We start from the raw sequence: 22,490 nt of genomic DNA on the forward strand, positions 1-22,490 counted from the left end.
AGGCAGAGAGGGGAGAGAAAGCCTCACTGAGCAGAGAGGAAAGACGTAGGGAGGGAGCCCATCAAATGTCTAGAGAGTGTTCTAGGTGGGCAGACAGAAAGTGCAAAGGCCCTGAGGTGGGACCATATCCTGCCTGGTGTGTTCAGGGAACAGCAGGGAGGCCAGTGTACCACAAACAGATCAGAGAGGTGAAGAGGGGCAGAGATAAGTCAGAACAGGAGAAGGGGCTTTGTCCTCCTGGCTATCCCTAGAACCGTGGGTTCAGCAGACACTTGAGAAGGGCTTGGTTTCTTGGTGGGAGCTTTCTCTGTGGAGGCCAGGGCCTTGAGTCTGTGAGGGGCAGGGGAGCCTGTGCCTGGTTTTGTGATGCTTCCCATCCCCAAATCCAAGCTTGGGGCCTTTAACTCTCCTTGCTGCAATGCTAAGCCTGAACTGAACAGTAGTTCTTACCAGTTGAGCCCACACTGTAGTCTCAGATGGATCTTTTTCAGCGGAAATAAGATCAGTTCAAAAGCTGCTTGTGAAATCAAATCCAGATTTCTGTCACCCATGCTTTTCAATGTGCACAAGCTTGTTAGTTTCTTAATATATACAGTTGGTCCTCATTTTTCACAGATTCTGAGTTCGTGAGTTCATCTGCATGCTAACAGTTATTTGTAACTCCCAAATCAATGCTGGCCGTGCTTTCATGGTCATTCTTGGACATGCACGTTGTGAGAGCAAGTGAGACACCTGTCATGCACATTCGCAACTGAGGTCCAGCAAAGTGACACTTGCCTTCCTGATTCAGTTATAAATGAATGTCCTCTTCACGGTCTAGTTAGTGCTATGGCTTTTGCATTTTTGTGCTTTATATGGGCGATTTTGCTGTTTAAAATGACCCCCATCATAGTATTGATGTGCTGTCTTGTGTTTCTAAGTGGAAGAAGGCTGTGATGTGCCTTATAGAGAAAATATGTGTGTTTGAGCATCGTTCAGGCCTGAGTTGTAGTGCTGTTGGCTGTGAGTTCAGTGTTAATCAACAGTATATAGTATATTAAATAACGTGTCTTTAAACAGAAACACACATAAAACAAGGTTATGCATTGATTGGTTGATGAAGATGTGACCAGAGGATCACAGGAGCCTAACCCCATGACTCCCCTAGAAGCAATGGTTCAGGATTCGTTAGTTCAGTGTTAGTGGTGACGTTATGGAATATAACCACTGTGAATAACAAGAGTCAACTATATGCGGCTAAACTGTTTTCATGTGAAGTACAATTTATACTGTTATAACAGGGTCTAGGAATATCGGTTTTACCGCACATCTGCCAGCATTAAAGCATTAAATGTTATCATTAATTTTTTTTTCTAATTTGATAGGTGAAAAGAGTATATAGGGTTTTGTTTGTTTTTTGAGACAGGGTCTTGCTCTGTCACTCAGGCTGGAGCGCAGTGGCGCAATCATGGCTCACTGCAGTCTCGACCTCCTGGGCTCAAGCGGTCCTCTTACGTCAGCCTTCTGAGTAGTTGGGACCACAGGTATGTGCCACCACACCTAGGTAATTGTATTTTTTTGTGGAGACAGGGTTTCACCATGTTTCCCAGGCTGGTTTTCAACTCCTGGGCTCAAGCAATCCACCCGCCTCAGCCTCCCAAAGTGCTGGGATTACAGGTGTGAGCCACTGCACTCAGCCTAAAAGTATGTAATTCTAATGTGTGTTTTTTGACTGGCAGCAAGGTTGAATGTTTCTCCTTGTTGGTTAAAGTCCAGGCCCAGTGCATTTAAGACAAATTTTCTTGAGTCCTATGTGACAGGCAGAAAGGATTGAAGTACTTCTGGGTCATCCTGATGGCAAGAAGCCAGCACCAGGGCTGCACATGGCAAGTTATTTTATTTCAGGACTTCCATGAAATAAAGGGAAACAACAATTGATTGAGTCCCTAGTGTGTACAAGTCCTGTGCCAGTCTTCTACATCCAAGCAGGTTACTTTACCCCTGGGATAACACAGCCAGCTCCGACATCAGTGCTTCTCCTCATAGTGGTTAGAGCAGAGCTTTTGGGTCAGACTGCCTTGATTTGAAAATAAATATAACCAACTTACTGGCGGTGTGATCTTGGGCACTTTCTTAACCAGTGCTCAGTTTCCTCATCTGTAATGTTGGAGTTGATGATAATAATACTATCTTACCTCATAGATTTGACATGTGGATAAAATGAGTTAGCACATGAAAATCACCTAGAACAAAGCCCAGCACACTGTAAAGCCTCCATGCATGTTGGCTGTTGTTATTAAGTACGAAGCACCATTGTGGGGCATGGCGAATACATAATCCTTGTCCCACAGAAGCTTGCCTAGGAGACAAGATTTGCACCCTTGAAATGAAACTCTTTCCATGTTGGCAGGTGTGGCTTAGCAGAAAGAACACCACCTGAGGTGTCAGGAATTCTAGCTCTGCATCCCATTTGCTGATTTCTTGGGCTTAAATCACTTTACCTCTTAGAACCGCGGTATATTCACAGGTTAAAAATATACCTAACCCTTAGGATGCATTCTCACATGTCTTATTTAGTCTTCACAACATTCAAATGACATCAGTCTTAATGTTCCCATTTTACTGATGAGGAAATTGCAGCTTACAGGCTGAGATGTCTTGTCTGAGATCCTGTAGCTAGTGAGAGGAAGGACTTTTGATCACAGTCCATTGATCTGCTTACCACCCCTGATGCCTCTAGTATAAAATAAAGGATTTGGTCTGGAGGCCTCTCTAGCCCCTGCCAGCTACTAGTCTGTGACCATTTAAGAGGAAGAGTGGTGGGTTAGGGGACTTAGCTTACTTAAGAGGTACATCTTCATGGTTGGTTAAATCTACAAATTCATCTTGATGCTGTCACTTGATGCTTTACTTTTTTTTTTTTTTTTTGAGACAGAGTCTTGCTCTGTCACCCAGGCTGGAGTGCAGTGGTGCCATCTTGGCTCACTACAACCTCCGCCTCCCTGGTTCAAGCGATTCTCCTGCCTCAGCATCCCGAGTAGCTGGGATTACAGTCATATGCCACCACACCCGTCTAATTTTTTTGTATTTTTAGTAGAGATGGAGTTTCACCAGGTTGGTAGAGACGGGGTTTCACCAGGTTGGTCTCGATTTCCTGACCTTGTGATCTGCCCACCTCAGCTCCCAAAGTGTTGGGATTACAGCCTTGAGCCAGCTTTACATTTTTTGAATGTCACTTCTCTCTTAATTTCCCCAGAATGAGTGACTTTCAGCCAGTGTTTCTGCATTGACTTGTTTTCTGGCTGGTGGCTCTTTTGCCTGCCAGTGTGAGCAGGATCAACACATGTGTTCCTCTTCCCTCCTCCTTGTTCCTTCTCTCTGCTGTTGTTTCTGAAGCTGCAGTCAATAAGCCTTCCTCGGGAGTTGTTCTGCAGCTTGAACAGTTAAGCAAGTCTAATCTTTTTGTTTGCAGCCACCTTGGGCAATTGGCTACTGAATATGCTGCCTCTGCTAGCCTTGCCTGCTTGCTGGGAGAATTAAGTTCTCTCTTCCCCAGCTCCTCTGATACTGAGTAGCAGAGTGCACGGTGGCTAACACATCCTCATGACATAATCCCTACCCTTTGGCAAGGTCAAACATTGCTTTGCTCTTTGATACCTGCAGACCAAATGCCATAATTACCTTTTTGTCTTGATAGTAACTGGTATTAGGTTTTGACTTCTTGCTTTTTCCTCAAAGTCAAGGCTATTTGGCTGTCACGGGGCTACCCATCCTAAGCCAGTAGAATCTGAAATGAACTTTCTTTCCTTATTTGCTATCACTGCAAGTGGCAGCTCTATGAGAATGGCCTTTCCAGCTTGTAACTGTCACCTCAGCCCTTCCCAGGGCCTTGGCTTGTCAGGGGAAGAAGGTTTATGTGTGGTATTGTATTAGGCCGTTCTTGTGTTGCTATAAATACCTGAGACTGGGTAGTTTATAAAAAGAGGTTTAATTGGCTCACTGTTCTACAGGCTGTACATAGTGCCGACATTGCTAGGCTTCTGGGTAGGTCTCAGGGAGCTTTTACTCATGGCAGAACGTGAAGTGGAAGCAGGCACATCACATGGCGAAATCAGGAGCAAGAGAGAGAATAGGTGGGGGCGGTGGGGGGGAGGTTAGGTGCCACACACTATTAAATGACCATATCTCATGAGAACACTATCACAAAGACATCACCAAGCCATAAGGGATCCGCCCCCCAACCCAAACATCTCCCACCAGGCCCCACCTCCAGCACTGGGGATTACAATTCAACTTGAGATTTGGGTGGGAACAAATATCCAAACTATATCAGGTATCAATGGTCCTTTTCTTGCTGAGTTTTTCTCACTGGTTAGCAATGAAGAAGACAAAGTTAATGGCGTGTGTGTGTGTGTGTGTGTATGCACGTGCAGAAATAAATACACCCATTCACTGGTAAACAAATAAGAATCAGAATGCAGTGTCATTTATTTGGTGAACTTCTCATCTTTTGAGGTCCAGACCAGGGGCCACCTCCTCTATGAATCATGAACTGATGCTTAGACTTTTTTTCCTTGTCCTGCTCCTGGTGTGGGCATTGACTATAACTGTTAACATCCCTATATAGTAATATATCTCTCTACAGGCTTGTTTTTTACTCAACTATGGACTCCTTGAGATCAGAGACTAAATCTTCAGTATCTTCATTTTCTGATTGTTTGGAAGAGAGCCTAGCACAATAGGAGTTTAATAAATGTTTGTTGAATGAATGAATGAAGGGTGGGTAGATGCCTCCTGTGTGTCTGGGTAAGCCACTGTGCCAGCTTATTCTCTTAGTGGTTACAGCCAAAGCTGAATGTCATCCATCAAATGGATTCTGACTTGCAAACACTAAAAAAGCACATTATGATGAATGTCACTTGCTCAGCCAAACCCCATTACAAAAGGCCAGTGGACCGCAAATGTAACAGCCTCTAAACCCAAACTGGGCAAACAACCCTCCTGCTTGGAACCTAAACTGAACCGAGTATCTGTCATCTATTGAAATTTCCAACTGAGCTAAAGTTGTTCCCTGCCTCCCTGAACCATCCCCTCCGATGCCTCCTGGCCAAATTTTACTTGGTAAACTAGTTGCAATGGGAATCAAACCTATATTTTATTCCAGAACAAAATAAGGAGTTTAAAAATATTTCCATTTCTGCATAAACCAATGCTTCATTTCATTGGCATTCTGCCCTCCTGTGAGTCTGGTTATCTTTTGGATCAAATATTGCATCATTTGACAAGTTATGATGGCCATGGAAGTGGGCAGGACTACACCCTTGTTTACAGAGGACAGATCTAAAACCAACTGCCCTTGTCCCTGACACCAGGTTTGGTGTCACCAGGTGAGGGTGGTTAATTCCTCATCATCTCAAATGCCCCCATCCACAGGGAGCTTCACTGTTTCCAGGGCATGTACAGAGCCACTCTTTCACTCAGTACCAAAAATGGTCCTGTAAGCTGGGTGGCCCAGGATATCATCCCCATTTTAGAGATGAGGACATAGAGACCAAGAGAGGAGGTCACACACACACTTGCCCAAGTGCTAGAGACAAGAATCAAACTTTATTTTGGGGGATTCCAGCTCGATTTCTCTTACCTCAATGACTCAACCATGCCCTCTGAGCACCCAGCCTGCTGCTCAATGGTACATGTATGATTTGGTTCCCCAAACATCTTCCCCAAGTGAATGTGTGCTCCAAGTTAAAGAAAACTGTTTAATGGAAGACTGTTTTGTCTTGTGCCAATTCCTCACTTTTCCTCCTTCCACTGCCAATGCAAGTAAAACCTTGGTTATTTAAAAGTCAGGTTTATTAAAGTGTAATTTACACAAAATAAGGTATAATTGGATGGGTTCTGAAAAAAGCATACACTCCTGGAATGATCACCAATCTAGATAAAATATTTTCATCACTCCAAAAAGTTCCACTGGGCCCCTTTGCAGCCCTCCTTCCCTACTCACAAGCACACTGAGGTAAATGAATACCAGCTACTTAATACAGTTAATTGTAATGTCTAGTAACTAGAACTCAGTCCAAGTAATACAAGAAAGAAACCAGTCATTTAATCTACCAAACACAAAATATACCTTGCAGCATTTACTGGGGATGTTTTAAAGTCTTTCTTTACAACTTCAGGGCCTTTTTGCTTTCTTGGTTGGGTCCAACATCCATGGAATTTAAGACATCTTAATCCTTTAAGGGAGTGAAGTCACAAAAAAGGGTATTTATATTAGAGAATTTTTTTTCACAACCATACTCCAAGGGCCCCATCACTCATCTACTGAAACTTCCAAAGCCCTTGTAAAAGATGCCCTAGGCTGAAAAGAAATGCTACCTCTATAATCTTATAAAGTCCACAAGACTTTGGGCACATTAGGCTTCTGAAGAGTGTTGATTTTTGCTAACTAAAATGACAAAATGATGAAATACATAGGATTTGTTTTACTCTCCCCTGTTCGTTACTTGAGCACAGTTAGAATAAGAGCAAAATAAGCTTGACAGATTCCCCCCAAATAACTGGTACCCTACTGTGTTTGAAGTATTTTTGACCTTCACCAGGGTGCTCTAGACTAAAAAAGCATTTACATGAAATGGTAGCTTTAGCTGATAATTCAGTAGATACTTGCAACAGTCCTGGTCCAAACGAAAGCACTGAAATTCAGGTAACTTTATTTAAATTCAAAAACAATTCTTAAAATTGCATTTAGAGTCAAGACCTTTTTGTATTAAAAAAATCACAAGACATATTTCTAAGTAAGGCAAAAGTTAGTTCTAGGTTAACAAGACCAGATTTGACTTTAGACTTTAAAAAATTATAGAGAATACAAAACCACGCAGCTACATGGAAACTGAACAACCTGCTCCTGAATGACTACTGGGTAAATAATGAAACTAAGGCAGAAATAAATAAGTTCTTTGGAACCAATGAGAACAAAGACACAACATACCAGAATCTCTGGGACACAGCTAAAGCAGTGTTTAGAGGGAAATTTATAGCACTAAATGCCCTTGTCAGAAAACAGGAAAGATCCAAAATCGATATCCCAACATCACAATTAAAAGAACTAGAGAAGCGGGAGCAAACAAATTCAAAAGCTAGCAGAAGACAAGAAATAACTAAGATCAGAGCAGAACTGAAGGAGATAGATACACGAAAAACCTTTCAAAAAAATCAGTGAATCCAAGAGCTGTTTTTCTGAAAAGATTAACAAAATAGATAGACAACTAGCCAGACTAATAAAGAAGACGAGAGAGAAGAATCAAATAGACACAATAAAAATGATAAAGGGGTTATCACCACTGATCCCACAGAAATACAAACTACCATCAGAGAATACTATAAATACCTCTATGCAAATAAACTAGAAAACCTAGAAGAAACGGATAAATTCCTGGACACATATACCCTCCCAAGACTAAACCAGGAAGAAGTCAAATCCCTTAATAGACCAATAACAAGTTCTGAAATTCAGGCAGTAATTTATAGCCTACCAACCAAAAGAAGTCCAGGACCAGACGGATTTACAGCTGAATTCTACCAGAGGTACAAAGAGGAGCTGGTACCATTCCTTCTGAAACTATTCCAAACAGTAGAAAAAGAGGGACTCTTCCCTAACTCATTTTATGAAGCCAGCATCATCCTGATACCAAAACCTGGCAGAGACACAACAGAAAAAGACAATTTCAAGCCAATATTCCTGATGAACATTGATGTGAAAATCCTCAATAAAATACTGGCAAACTGAATCCAGCAGCACATCAAAAAGCTTATCCACCACGACCAAGTCAGCTTCATCCCTGGGATGCAAGGCTGGTTCAACATACACAAATCAATAAACGTAATCCATCACATAAACAGAACCAATGACAAAAACCACATGATTATCTCAATAGATGCAGAAAAGGCCTTTGATAAAATTCAACACTCCTTCATGCTGAAAACGCTTAATAAACTAGATATTGATGGAATATATCTCAAAATAATAAGAGCTATTTATGACAAACCCACAACCAATATCATACTGAATGGGCAAAAGCTGGGTGCATTCCCTTTGAAAACCAGCACAAGACAAGGATGCCCTCTCTCACCACTCCTACTCAACATAGTATTGGAAGTTCTGGCCAGGGCAATCAGGTAAGAGAAAGAAATAAAGCATATTCAGATAGGGAGAGAGGAAGTCAAATTGTCTCTGTTTGCAGATGACATTATTGTATATTTAGAAAACCCCATTGTCTCAGCTCAAAAACTCCTTAAGCTGATAAGCAACTTCAGCAGTCTCAGGATACAAAATCAATGTGCAAAAATCACAAGCATTCCTATACACCAATAATAGACAAACAGCCAAATTATGAGTGAACTCCCATTCACAATTGCTACACAGAGAATACCTAGGAATACAACTTACAAGGTGTGTGAATGACCTCTTTTGGGAGAACTACAAACCACTGCCCAAGGGAATAAGAGAGGACACAAACAAATGGAAAAAAATTCCATGCTCATGGATAGGAAGCATCAATATTGTTAAAATGGCCATACTGCCCAAAGTAATTTATAGATTCAATGCTATTCCCATCAAGCTACCATTGCCTTTCTTCACAGAATTAGAAAAAACTACTTTAACTTTCATATGGAACCAAAAAAGAGCCCGCATAGCCAAGACAATCCTAAGCAAAAAGAACAAAGCTGGAGGCATCACACTACCTGACTTCAAACTATGCTACAAGGCTACAGTAGCCATAACAGCATGGTACTGGGACCAAAACCGATATATAGACCAATGGAACAGAACAGAGGCCTCAGAAACAACACCGCACATCTACAACCACTGATCTTTGAGAAGCCTGACAAAAACAAGCAATGGGGAAAGCCTTCCCCACTTAATAAATGGTGCTGGGAAAACTGGCTAGCCATGTGGAGAAAACAGAAACTGGACCCTTTCCTTACACCCTTATACAAAAATTAACTCAAGATGGATTAAAGACTTAAATGTAAAACCCAAAACCATAAAAACCCTAGAAGAAAACCTAGGCAATACCATGCAGGATATAGGCATGGGGAAAGACTTCCTGACTAAAACACCAAAAGCAATTGCAACCAAAGCCAAAATTGACAAACAGGATCTAATTAAACTAAAGAGCTTCTGCACAGCAAAAGAAACTATTATCAGAGTGAACAGGCAACCTACAGAATGGAAGAAAATTTTTGCAATCTACTCATCTGACAAAGGGCTAATATCCAGAATCTACAAAGAACTCAAACAAATTTACAAGAAAAAACAACCCCATCAACAAGTGGGTGAAGGATATGAACAGACAATTCTCAAAAGAAGACATTTATGTGGCCAAAAAACATATGAAAAAATGCTCATCATCTCTGGTCATTAGAGAAATGCAAATCAAAACCACAATGAGATACCGTCTCACGCCAGTTAGAATGGCAATCGTTAAAAAGTCAGGAAACAACAGATGCTGGAGAGGATGTGGAGAAATAGGAATGCATTTACACTGTTGGTGGGAGTGTACATTAGTTCATCCGGTGTGGAAGACAATGTGGCAATTCCTCAAGTATCTAGAACCAGAAATACCATTTGACTCAGCAGTCCCATTACTGGGTGTATAACCAAAGGATTATAAATCATTCTACTATAAAGACACACGCACACATATGTTTATTGCAGCACTGTTCACAATAGCAAAGACAGAACCAACCCAAATGCCCATCAGTGATAGACTGGATAAAGAAAATGTGGCACATATACACCATGAAATACTATGCAGCCATAAAAAGGATGAGTTCTTGTCCTTTGCAGGGACATGGATGAAGCTGGAAACCTTTATCCTAAGCAAACTAACACAGGAACAGAAAAGCAAACACCGCATGTTCTCACTCATAAGTGGGAGTTGAACAATGAGAACACATGGACACAGGGAGGGGAACATCACACACTGGGGCCTGTTGGGGGGTTGGGGGAAGCAGAGGAAGAACATTAGGACAAATACCTAATGCTTGTGTGGTTTAAAATCTAGATGATGGGTTGATGGGTGCAGCAAACCACCATGGCTTATGTATACCTATGTAACAAACCTGCATGTTCTGCACAAGTATCCCAGAACTTAAAGTATAATAATAAAAAATAAATTATAGAGAATAGAGAAAAATAGGTTATATACAGAAAATTATACTTACATATGTACTCAGAAGCATAAATTTGGTGACAGAAAAGACTTTATTATATACTGGCATCCCAGAAGCAGTTCTGAAAGAGCTTAGTTTTATTTTCTTGAATTTTAAGAATGCCTAAGATCCTTCTTCATTTTCAATATTGGGAGGCAGGTAATATTTACTTTAAATGTCCCATATGGCGCGGGCATGGTGGCTTATGCCTGTAATCCGAACACTTTGGGAGGTCAAGGAGGATGGATCACCTGAGGTCAGGAGTTCAAGACCAGCCTGACCAACATGGTGAAACCCTGTCTTTACTAAAAATACAAAATTAGTCAGGCATGGTGGCACATGCCTGTAGTCCCAGCTCCTCAGGAGGCTGAGGCAGGAAAATCGCTTGAACCTGGGAGGCAGAGGTTGCAGTGAGCCGAGATCGCGCCAAAGCACGCCAGCCTGGGGACAGAGCGAGACTCTGTTTCAAAAAAAAAAAAAAAAAAAAAGTCCCATATTAGCAATGTTATACTCTACAAGTGGTACGTCTACAGACATACCGAGTGTCACTGTAGAAGAGCGTGGAGTGGCTTTTGTGAAGAAGTTCAGGTACATCAGTGCAAAAGTTAGCTGAACTAGTTCATTCATCTCTATGGCAACAGCTTCCTTCTCTTTATCAACATTACTTATTTGTGACAATTTAATGTTTCCATTTGCAAGTTCTCCAGTTGCAGAAAATTTCACTCCATCTTTCGCACAGGAAATTACAACAACATCTCCAATATGATTGAGATCTCAGCATATGCATGCAAATTCACCAGCAGGCATCTTTACTACACAGCTGTACTCTTGTTTTGGAATTCCAAGTTGTTCAACATCCAAATCCATTAGCTTCATTTTATAATCCGAAACTTTCTCCTGATTTAGTGCTTCAAATACTAGTGCTAAGTTGTCTGCATTATCTTCAGCTCCTAACATCATGACATCTTCATTGCCAGCACAGTTTAGTATTTTGAACATACTGGATAGGTTCATGCCTATGGCCAGGTTGTAGTCGCAGCAGCACGTGTTGAAGCCCTTGGAGCAGTGGGTGAGCTGCCACGAGGAGATGCAGAACGAGTCTATGCTGTGCACATTCAGCTGCTTGAGCTAATGTCCCGGCAGGCCTCACTAATGAGGTCCTCAAGGGCCTCCAACACATTCTTCAGGATGGAGCCCTGGACCAGGTGTACCTCGAACATGGTGGAGTCACAATGACATGGCTACAGGAAGGTGCGAAGGAAGAAGGTCTAGGCAGTTTTGGCTTTATGAAGCTCAGAGCAAGTGGGCAAACGCCGTGGGAAGAGGCTGAGACCTCAAAAGATGATGACAAATCCACTATGCCTGCAACTGTTTAATCAAGACTTGTTTTTTTAATGAAGAGCTGGTGCGTGTTCAGGAGCACGAGTGGTGGAATTCACAGATTGCTATCCTCAGAATACCTTCCTGGCAGAAACCCAGGAGCCATGCTGGGATCCACACCCACTCCACCTCCCGCCCTTGCAGTTTCTGCTGGCATCACTGGAGACAGTGGAGACTTGTCCGTTACTCTGGCAGGGATTGGACATGCCTCCAGTGGGCTGTCGCTCCAGAAAGCAGAGAGCAAAGGAAGCCTCTGGCTAGGCTGTCACCAGCCCCTGAGTGGATGCATCATGCCCAGGGATTGGCAGTGAGTCATTGAAGCCCCAGACTGGTGGTAGCCAAGTTCCTTGAAGCCTTTACCTTGTGTATTGCTGAGTGGCACTATTGTAGGCAGGAGAGGAGGGCCACAGAGGCATAAAGGCTGTCTGCCCCCGAGCTTCTTCCTGGGAGGCCTGCAGGTACCTAAAGTGTCAGAAAAGCCATTAGTGCTTCCTCCCCAGGTGTCCGCAAGTGTCCCCAGTCATCTGAGAGATGATCTTAGGAGTCACTTGGAGGACTATTGGGTTTTAAATGTAATAGTCATGCATTTTAATGTCTCTTCTATTTATGGCAAGTCATATAGGTTTTCAATCAGTGGTCATAATGGTTTTTTAAAAATAATGTTAAAAAAGTGAATCTGTTTAAAGAAAATTGTTAAGGGAAGCAGCATAGCATAGTAGTTAAGAGAATGAACTCTGAAGACGGATGCATGGTCAGACTCCCAGCACCACACTTACCAGTTATGGGACAGTGGGTAAGTACTTCACTGTGCTGCAGTTTCCTTATCTTTAAGGAATAACAGTAGTACCCACTTAATGAGTTAGTTCATGTAAGCACTTACAACATGTCCCAGCTCACACTAAGCATCACATAGGTAACTGTTAAATAAAATGCAGTGAATCAAGGTGGTAGGGGAGTATAGGGCAAACATAATGAGGATGGGTCTAGAACAAGAGAAGTTTGTAGGAATGTTTGTCTTCTGCAATTCTTGCTCTGACAGTTGGGGGCCCAGGGCCCAGGGAGCAGAATGGCTGTATCCAAAGTCATAAACTGACATAGCATGGCAAGGCAGAATGAAATCCCTGCTCACTTGACTCACTATCAACTACAGGGCTGCAGAGGTGGCCCCTTCTATGGAGAAAGCAATTTGTCCCATGGGCCACTCAAAATGGCAAACATAGTCTCCAACAGAGGTGACGCAGACATTACCTCAGAGGCAGCCTTGATATCGCTGACCCCTCAGATGGATGCAGTTTCGCATAGCTCCTACTTGCTGATGAGATGGCCATGGCCATAAAGCAGTCTTCCAGAGTCTGTCCCAGGTAGATCTCAGGCCTCCATACGCCAGGGCCAGGCAATAGAGGTCATGGCCGGAGCCTCAGGACCTACCACAGAGCTGGCCCATGGAAGCCTCTGAAGGAATGTTTGATGACTCACCAAATGAATGAATGAATGAATGAATGAATGAATGAATGAATGAATGAATAAACATCCCCATTACATGGATCAGCTGATCAGCTAAGCAGAGGATACGCATGTGCCCAAGGGCCCTTTTGGTGCAGTGTGTGTTGTTCTTTCTGTGGGTGAGGCTGTTGAGGTATGTGTCTACAGAAGGTGCTAGCATAGTGCTGGTGTGTGTCATACACGAGGCCACGCCCTACACTTGTGCAAGTTTTCTGTGACCTCTGGGATCTGAAAGATCAGTATTTCCTAGAGTTGAGCAACAGTGAGGTTAGGGGAGTTTGAAGGAGGGAATGGAGGTGTGACATTTCTGGGGCCCAGGACCCAGGGAAGTAAGAAAGATGGTGTTTATGAAGGCACTTAGCTGCAAGGGCGAGGTCCTATAGGCAGGTTTAGGGCTTAATGACTATAATCACTTTGGCATGAGCAGCTGACATGGGCATCTCACTATACAGTTTACCTAAAGCACTGCCACTCCAGTTTCATCACTGGCTCCTCAGCACTGCATGAGTGCAGAGCAGTTATTGCAGTTTCTATTTAAAAACAAAGCCTGCTAAATGGCAAAGCTGGATAGAATCAGCTCCTCTGAGCCCATGTCCAGTATGATCTCAAGCCAGGCTGCGTTCTGATTGTGTATATCCCAGTAACCAATCCTGGCCATGACATGGTGCTTACCACATGATTCTCATCCCCTACCTCCAGGATTGTTTGCTGATGAGTCAGTGACCAAATGAATAGTGCAAAGGAGAGACAAGAGACCTGGGGTGAGGGCAAAGGGTGTCAGGTCGGGGCTGAAGAGCGCAGGAGGAAGAAAGGGCTGGAACGAATTCTCTGAAGATGAGCTGCTTCTTTCATGACTATGTGGGCCAGGCCAGGTTTCGGCTCAAGCCTCTCCTTGCTTTTAAGTTATCAGAAAATTTGTCATTGGTTCCCTAAATATTGAACGTGTTGGATCCAGAGTTCTCACCATGGGCCACAAGGTGCCATTGAGCTGGCTGCCCACTGTCTTCTCTCTTCCACTCTGTAGCCCCTGGAATGTCACTTCATTGGCCGCCTTTTGCCACTTCTAAAACATTCCAGCATACTTAGGCCTCAGGGCTTTTGCACTTGCTGTTCTCTCTGCCTGATATGCCTTTCCCCCACTGTCTACCTCAAATGTACCTCCTCAGAGAGGCCCTCTCTGCCACCTTGCCCCCTTGGCCTACCTTGTTTTTCTCCATAACACTGATCACTCCTTGGCATTTTATTGTATATGCATTTCTATCTATCTACTGGAAATGAAGCATCACAAGGCCAGAGATCTTTGCCTGCTTTGTTCATTGCTGTATGCCCAGTGCCTAGCACAATGACTCGCATATATTAGGTACATTAGGCATATTAGATTCAAATTAAACGTATTTGAATGAGTTAATGTGGTTTGAAGCTTTTACCTCTCTGAAGCTTCTAGGTGTGCTACTTTCACAGGAAGAGCAATCCTGGCCTAGGATGCTAGTGCCTACAAAGTGGCAGAGCTTGTACTTTATTAGATTCACTATATCCTTAGAAAAGAGGAGGCATGTTGGATAAGATGCAGCCCCAGCCCCCCAGCCTCTGCCAAAACCAACGTGTCCCAGTCTGAAGCAGATTCTAGTTGAGCTGGATGGTGGACTGGTAGACCAGCATCCCTCTGGCCAGAACAGACATGGATGGCGGGACTGGGAAAGGTCGGGACTGAGAATGGCTGAGATCAGGACATCAGGGGTCAAAGATCAAGACAGGGATCTGGGGCTGGGGCTAGGGCTGGGAAGAGCCAATGGGTCCTTGGTGGGCATTTAGGGGAGCTGGGTAGTTGATATAGTTTGGCTGTGTCCCTACCCAAATTTCATCTTGAATTGTAGCTCCCATAATCCCCATGTGTCATGGGAGGGACCCAGTGGGAGATAGTTGAATCATGGAGGCAGTTTCACCCATACTGTTCTCGTGGTAGTGAATAAGTCTCACAAAATCTGATGATTTTATAAGCGGAAATCCCTTTCACCTGGCTCTCATTCTCTCTTGCCTGCTGCCATGTATGGTGTACCTTTTGCCTTCTGCCAGGATTGTGAGGCCTCCCCAGCCACATGGAACTGTGAGTCCATTAAACTTCTTTTTCTTTAAAAATTACCCATCTCAGGTATGTTTTTATCAGCAGCATGAAAATGGACTAATAGAGTAGCCAACGTTTCTGAAATGATAATATGGGCCCAGTTCAGGTGGCTTCTTGTAAGCTATTGATACTTAGGACTTCTCTGCTGGCCCTACTTGGGCATGAAAGGTCCATTTCTTGACAGGATAAATGGCAACAATATTGTAATATGTAAAGATCCTACATATCTGTTATCTCATAACAACCATGTGTAGTATGTTTATTCATTTAGGTAACAAATATGTGTTGATCCCGTGTAAGAACCAGGCACTGTAGATGTTGCCTCAGTCACTGTCTTAGTCCATTTGTGTTGCTATGGACTCAGGTATACCTGAGCCTGGATGACTTATAAAGGAAAGAGGTTCATTTGGCTGACAGTTCTGCAGGCTGTACAAGAAGCATGGAGCTGGCATCTGTTGATGGCTTCTGGTGAAGGTCTCAGGCTGTCTCCACTCACTGCAGAAGGGGAAGGGGAATTGGTGTATGCAGAGGTTATGTGGTGAGACAGGAAGCAAGGGAGATGAGGGAGGTGCCAGGCTTTTTATAACGATCAGTTCTCCTGCGAGCTAACAGAGAACTCATTACCTCAAGGGGGCACCAAGCCATTCACGAGGGATCCATCCCCATGACCCAACACCTCCCATTAGGCCCCACCTCCAACACTGGAGATCAAATTTCAACATGAGGTTTGGGGGACAAACATCCAAACTATAGCAGTCACATATAGGAAATCTCTACATTTATAGGGGTAACTAACACTCCTGCAACAAAATAGATGATGGTTTACTAAAATACATCAGCTGCTTTATCATCAGTGCTAAGAATAGTGGTTATTACACGTTAGATGCTCAATTAATATTTTTGAATTGCTGGATTAATATGTAGGTTAATGACTTCACCCATTTACTGAACAAGGAAGTAGCCCAGAAAAATCAGATTTGGAAATCTGGCTCAGGGTGGTTTTACTCTTGAGACCAAATGGTTCTCTCTGATTCTAAGGACTTTGAAGCTTTACAGACTTGGTATTAATACATTTCTAAACTAAAAATGCCAAAAAATATTGCGGGGAAGTGGTTAAAAGCTGCCAGCTTTTCATTTTTCCAAGTAAGGAGATGGAGAAAGATATTACCGACAATTGTTATTTCGTAAAAGGGCATTTAAACACTTCAATTGTGTGAAGGGTGATCCTAGAATTTTAAAACATTGGGTACATATTGGTTCTATGAAAAAGTTACTACATTGTTCTAATTTTTTTCCCATTTCACTGAGGATTGGGGTAAACTTCACTGATCCACAGTGAAGAGACAGGTCCGGGCTCAGATGGGCATTTGGGAGCCTCTGGCCTGGAGGAACCAGTCACTCAAGTTCTTTCCTCTCTCTTTGTCTCTCTTTTTAGTCCTCTTCCCTTTCTTCTTCTCTTTCTTCTTCCTTTCTCACCTCTTACATACAGACACACTTAGACACACTGAGGCACATTTCAAAGCTCCCGAGAGAAGCAGACCATGCATCAGAGTTAGACCTCTGGTGGGGAAGAAAGACAACCTCTCCTGTTCTGAGCACTGCTTTCCCAACTCTAAAAAGAAAACGAGAAGGGGGTGGAGGTGAAGGGGAGGAGAATCTTCCCTACCTTCCCATCAGCCTTCTTTATTATATCTGTTCAAAGTGAAAAAAAATGGTTTTAAACTCTCAGTGTTAGTTTATGACCCCTATTAATCACATGTAATAACCCTCCCAATTATTAAATTATGGAGACATGTGTTTCCTCAGCCAAACAGACTAATTATTTACTGAAATGAATTAACATATAGAAAAGCCTCAGTTCTATGGAGGCTGAAACTTTGCATAATGAGTTTATCAGCCTTAAAAGCAGCCCAGATGAGCTTTTTTTTTTTTTCTTTCTTTTTTTTTTTTTTTTTGGTGAAATAAACACACTGATTATAGTGAAGCTTATCCATGCTGGCATCTTGCCATTTGCTATTTCTTTAATAAACACCGGTCGAGTTGTGTATCTGTTTTCACTTTCATTTATCAAGGCTCCCCTTTGCAATTAACAGCTGTGGTAGAGGTGCGGTGGGGGTGGGAAAGACATGTTCTTACCAGCCTCCCCCTCCAGGTCCCCAAAGTTGCTCATGTGGGGCTCTCTTTGTATTTTAATAGGCTTGCCAATCAGCTGACTGCAGCAGCAGCAGCAGCAGCAGCAGCAGCAGTGATGCACAGATCTGATCTGCGTTGGCAATATACTTGTAATTCGGACATGCATCTCCAGGACACCAGCCTTAGCAGGAAGGGGAGCCAATCAAGGGGAAACAATTATGCAAATTTAAAATGTAAACTCTCTGGAGCCCCTGCCACAACCTGGTAAGAGGATAAAGGTCTGCTTTCCATTCCTTTCTCTAGTGACAGCAAGCTCTCTTCCCACATATCTTCTAGGGAGATTCCTAAGTCATTTAAGCATCTGCAAAATGGCCCCATGGACACGTGGTTTGGAATGAGGATTTATGGGTAATTATATCTAAAAAACTCTTATTTTTCATGGTACTCATGAAGCCACTCAGTCTCCTACATTTTTTTAATCTAGTGATTTAGGGACTGTGTCAAATGTTCACCAAAGGACATTCAGATCATTCATTCATTCAACAAGCGTTTAGTAATGTATATTGCAAAATTGCTGACAGTAGATTTTAAATGTTCACACTCCTCCCAGAATGATAAGTATGTGAGGTGATGGACATGTTAATTAGTTTGATTTAATCATACCATATTGTGTACATATATCAAAACATCAGATTGTATCCCATATATATATACAATTACTTGTCAATTAAAAATAAAATTTGAAAAAAAATACAGGCATGTATTCCAGGGTGCAATACTGGGAGCTCCTGGAGCTTATAGTTTGGTTACTTTGTTTATTCCTTAAAAAATAGATATCAAACATCTACCAGGAGTGAGGTACTGGGGTAGTGTGGAGAACAAGACAGATGAGGTTCCTGCTGTCATGGAGCTTGCCCTTGGGGATGGGTGGGTGCAGGAGCATGGCATGAGGCTGCTGATGTGGTTCTCAATAAGAACCATGACTCCTGGCAGTCACAGCCTAGCTCTTGAATGTGGTGTGGACCTAGAGACTTGCTTCTGAGAAACAGAATATGGCAAAAGTGATGGGATGTCACTGCTGATTGGGCTACAAAAGACTGCCTTTTATCTCAACAGCGTTCTCTGTCTCTTGCCCTCTCACTTGCTCTGATGAAGCTTGCTGCCCTGTTATGAGATGCTCTATGGAGAGGCCTACGTGGCAAGGAACTGAGGGTGGCCTCTGACCAATAGCTCATGAGAAACTGAGGCCTCACTCCAGTGTCCACAGGGGTGAGCTAGGAAGCAGATCTTTCTAGTGGAGGCTTGAGGGCACTTGTAGCCCCAGCCAAAACCTTGATTGCAGCCTGTGAGACTCAAAGCCATAGGCTCTAGCTAGCCACTCCTGGATTCCTGGCCCACAGAAACTGTGAGATAGTAAATGTTTTTAATGTTAAGTTATTAAGTTTTGGGGCAATTTCTGGCTTAGTCAGTTCTGAGTGCTAAAACAAAATACAATTGACTAGGTGGCTTAAGAACAAACATTTATCTCACGTGGTTCTGGAGGCTGGGAACTCTGAGATTAGGGTGCTGGTAGAACCAGTGTCTGGTGAGGGCCCTGTTCCTGGCTTATAGATAGCCACCTTCTTACTGTGTCCTCACATGAGTGAAAGACGCAGAGCTTTAGTGTCTTCTTTTTTTTTTTTTTTTTTTAAGATGGAGTCTCGCTCCATCGCCCAGGCTAGAGTGCAGTGTGATGATCTCATCTCACTGTAGCCTCCACCTCCTGGGTTCAAGCAATCCTCCCACCTCAGCCTCCCAAGTAGCTGGGATTAACTGATGTGTGCCACCACACCCGGCTAATTTTTTTGTATTTTTAGTAGAGATGGGGTTTCACCATGTTGGCCAGGTTGGGTCTCTAACTCCTGACCTCATGTGATCCTCCTGCTTTGGCCTCCCAAAGTGCTGGGATGACAGGCATGAGCCGCTGCGCCCGGCCATCTTTCTCTTCTTATAAGGATGTTAATCCCATCATGGGGGCTCTTCCCTTATGACCTCATCTAAATTGAATCACTCCCAAGAGCCCCACCTCCTATTGGGAATTAGGGCTTCAATATATGAATTTTGGGAAGACACAAATAAATAAGCAGCCCATAACAATTTGTTTTGTAGTAATAGATAATAATATGGTGGCTGGAGGTGGGGAGTGAGATTATAAATTAATGGGTAAAAAGGAAGATATGAGCTGGTGAAAAGGCAGTGCTGAACATGAATGAAGGGTGATAGACATACTGAAGAGTGACAGGGTGGCTGCTGAGAATTTGAGTCTCAGGGCAGGACAGACCCTAAAGGTCCTTTGTCCAATACCCTAGATGAAGCCAGTGTGCTCTGCACATCCCTTCCAATGGGCATCCAGCCTTGGGTCAAATACCCCAAGTGAGGGGGAAATTCACATCTTTGTTACTCTGTCCCATCTTTGGATGTAAAAAATACTTGCTGTTGGGCTGGAATTTGCATCCCTATGGTTTTGTCTTTCTGGTCCTGGTCTTTCTCTTTGAGGCCATTCCTCCTGTCTGGTCTTTTGAGCTCCTATACCCTAAACAGTTGTCTAGCCTTTCTCGGTTGGCCCTCTAATTCCCTGACCCAGCTCTCCTTTCTTTCCCAGACTGGCTTTGATCTTTTGATACTGCTTTTGGCCTTTCTGACTTGACTGCCTTTCACACTTCCCTTCCTCTACCCACTGGGTCTCTTCCCACAGTCTCTGCTTGTTCCTGTGGTCTTGGGGTCCCTGTAGCTTTAGTTAGGGATTCTGCAACTTTGGTCAAAGGCCCCTCACAGCATCATGCCAGTCCCCTCCCTCACATGGCAAGCCCTTCTTTTCACAGAAAATGGTCACCACGTGCCAGTTGAACATTTTCCTCTCCTGCTAAACATGCCCACCTCTTTGGCACTTCACCTCCTCCTCCTCCCCAGTGACTTCCTTCCTCCCCTCCCTTCTCTGCCAGCCTCAATTATCACTTCTGCAGAGGACTTCCTGGGGGGTGGCCCTCTCTAGTCAGCTACCTGCTAGACATTGTCCTGTGAGATCCTTAAAGCCCCTGGAGCTCAGTGTGCCTTCCTTCTTGTCCTCTGACAAATATCCGCTGATGCTGACACTGGGCCTGTGCCCCTTCTAATAATCATCCCCTTTCGTCCCCTGCCTGATGGGCCAGAGCCTCCTGTGTCTCCTGGTATCCTACACTCTAAACTCAGGGACATCCTAGTCTTTTTCTCTTTCCTCCACCATCCATGACTAAATCTGTCATCTGGTTTGCCTTTTTTTTTTTTTTTTCCTTCTCAGGGCCTCTTTCATCTTCCCCTTCCTTCTGCCACCCCTGAGGACCAGGTCTTTATCAGTTCACCCCAAACTATAATAATCCCCATCCCCCAAATAATTTATTACAGGAGACAGTGCTGGAAACTGGAAGTATAGAGACAGCAAAGCAGATCTTGCATCTCTCCTCGTGGAGCTTGCAGTGAGCTTGTTCATGCATGCGTGAATTCACATATTCATTCATTCATTCATTCATTCAAACAGTTATTAAACACCTTCCATGTTACTTCGTCTAGTTGTCTCAGATTCCTGATAGTTGGAGGTAACTTTCTAACTTAGTTGTAATGAGGGGGGCAGTTTCCAGTAAATCGCTTGACAATTGCTTTGATAATTAGCAGCAGTAACTGAGAAGGACTGCCTGGAATGTCAGGGATACTTTCTTTCTCCACCCCATAAAAACGATGAATCTGAGAATTTCTGGGCTGCTGGTCTTATCTACAGGTCTGGCTGATTACAAGATGCCCTGCAGTGATGTCTCAGGAAAGGCCAGGACTGGGAAGGCCAACCCCCAGAGCCTGCCTCTACATTCTTGAGACATTGTGGTAGTTCTCCCATCCTAGCCCATCTTCTTCCCATCACCTGCAGCAGATCCACTTCAAGCACGTGCGTCATCCTAGGTAACCTGGCTGTTGGAGATGAGGGTCCTGGCTGCCAAGAAAGGAACTAAGACAAGCAGGCAGTGCCAGAGGGACAGTGTCCAGACAGCTTCTTGCAGGCTCTCAGGGAAGTAGTTCAGGCCAGAGGTGGGAGGAGGCAGTGAGGAATGATGTGGTACAACTGCAGGCTGTAAGGTGAGTGTGTGCATGCTAAGTAGGCTGAGTTAGCGAGTGTGATACCAGGGTTAAGAAGATGCAGATTTGGGCCGGGAGCAGTGGCTCACACCTGTAATCCCAGCACTTTGGGAGGCCGAGATGGGCAGATCACCTGAGGTCAGGAGTTCGAGACCAGCCTAGCCAACATGGTGAAACCCTGTCTCTACTAAAAATACAAAAATTAGCTGGGCATGGTGGCGCACACCTGTAGTCCCAGTTACTCAAGAGGCTGAGGCAGGAGAATCACTTGAACCCAGGAGGCGGAGGTTGCAGTGAGCTGAGATCGTGCCACTGCACTCCAGCCTAAGTGACAGAGCAAGACTTCGTTTCAAAAAATAAAAATAAAAATAAAGAATATGCTGACTTGGGGGAATCCCAGAGTCTTTATCACTATCTCCTTTGTGTCCTTGGGCTAATTAATTAATTTCTCTGAGTGACATTTGTTTCTTCATCTTAAATGGGACTATTGATACGAGCCTCAGAAGGCTGCTGGAGTTTACAGGAGATAATGTGAGGAATTGCCTGGCATGGGTGGTCAATAAATGGTAGCTGCTTATTATTAGTATGGTTAGGCTGATTTCGAGGGTAGGGTTGGGCAGGAAGAACCAGAAAACTGGGGAGGAGCCAGAGTCCTCAGAGGGCATTTAAATTCAGGCTGGGGAAGCCAAGATCCTTCCACAAATGCGCAGAGCAGGTACAGGGATGGAAGCGGGGCAAAGCTCAGGTCAGAAGTAGGTGGGAGGTCAGAGAGGTGGGAGAGTCCCTGGGCAGTTGCGGGGATTTTTTTCCTGGATTCTCAGCAGCTGCCTTGGTCAGCTGTTTCCTGGAGAAGTTGGACAGAGTGGGCAGGAACTGTCACTAGGGCATCAAAATTACTCTTCCCCTGGCTTGGGCCAGAATTGTTTCCAGAACAAAACAGAAGCTCCAAATAACTGTCAAGTGGCCGCTGGATTAGACTGCAGGGCTTGGGGGCAGGGAGCCAGGCAAGGCCATC

General features: G+C 43.9%; 1 long non-coding RNA gene and 1 pseudogene across 2 annotated transcripts in view, besides 2 other annotated features; one reads left to right on the forward strand and one right to left on the reverse strand.

The window, feature by feature from the left end:
* The window catches only part of CSRP3-AS1 (CSRP3 and E2F8 antisense RNA 1), a 116,546-nt gene that overhangs the window by 67,139 nt on the left and 26,917 nt on the right, over positions 1-22,490 (forward strand). For both annotated transcript variants that reach the window (NR_183675.1, NR_183672.1), the window contains exon 3: positions 17,399-17,599. This is a non-coding gene — a long non-coding RNA (CSRP3 and E2F8 antisense RNA 1). The remainder of the gene's footprint in view (positions 1-17,398; positions 17,600-22,490) is intronic.
* Positions 5,550-5,739: a silencer, noted in NCBI's record as "fragment chr11:19290948-19291137 (GRCh37/hg19 assembly coordinates)". NCBI's record gives its function as "represses an EF-1alpha promoter that drives an FKBP-Casp9 reporter gene in an ReSE screen in K562 erythroleukemia cells {active_cell/tissue: K562}" and the evidence as "EXISTENCE:reporter gene assay evidence [ECO:0000049][PMID:32094911]".
* On the reverse strand, positions 10,678-11,417 carry PCNAP4 (proliferating cell nuclear antigen pseudogene 4; annotated as a pseudogene).
* Positions 13,571-13,865: an enhancer, noted in NCBI's record as "tiled region #11719; HepG2 Activating DNase matched - State 23:Low". NCBI's record gives its function as "activates a minimal TATA promoter and a strong SV40 promoter by Sharpr-MPRA in HepG2 cells {active_cell/tissue: HepG2}" and the evidence as "EXISTENCE:reporter gene assay evidence [ECO:0000049][PMID:27701403]".

Source organism: Homo sapiens, chromosome 11 (genome assembly GCF_000001405.40).
Source record: "Homo sapiens chromosome 11, GRCh38.p14 Primary Assembly".
Lineage (NCBI taxonomy): Eukaryota > Metazoa > Chordata > Mammalia > Primates > Hominidae > Homo > Homo sapiens.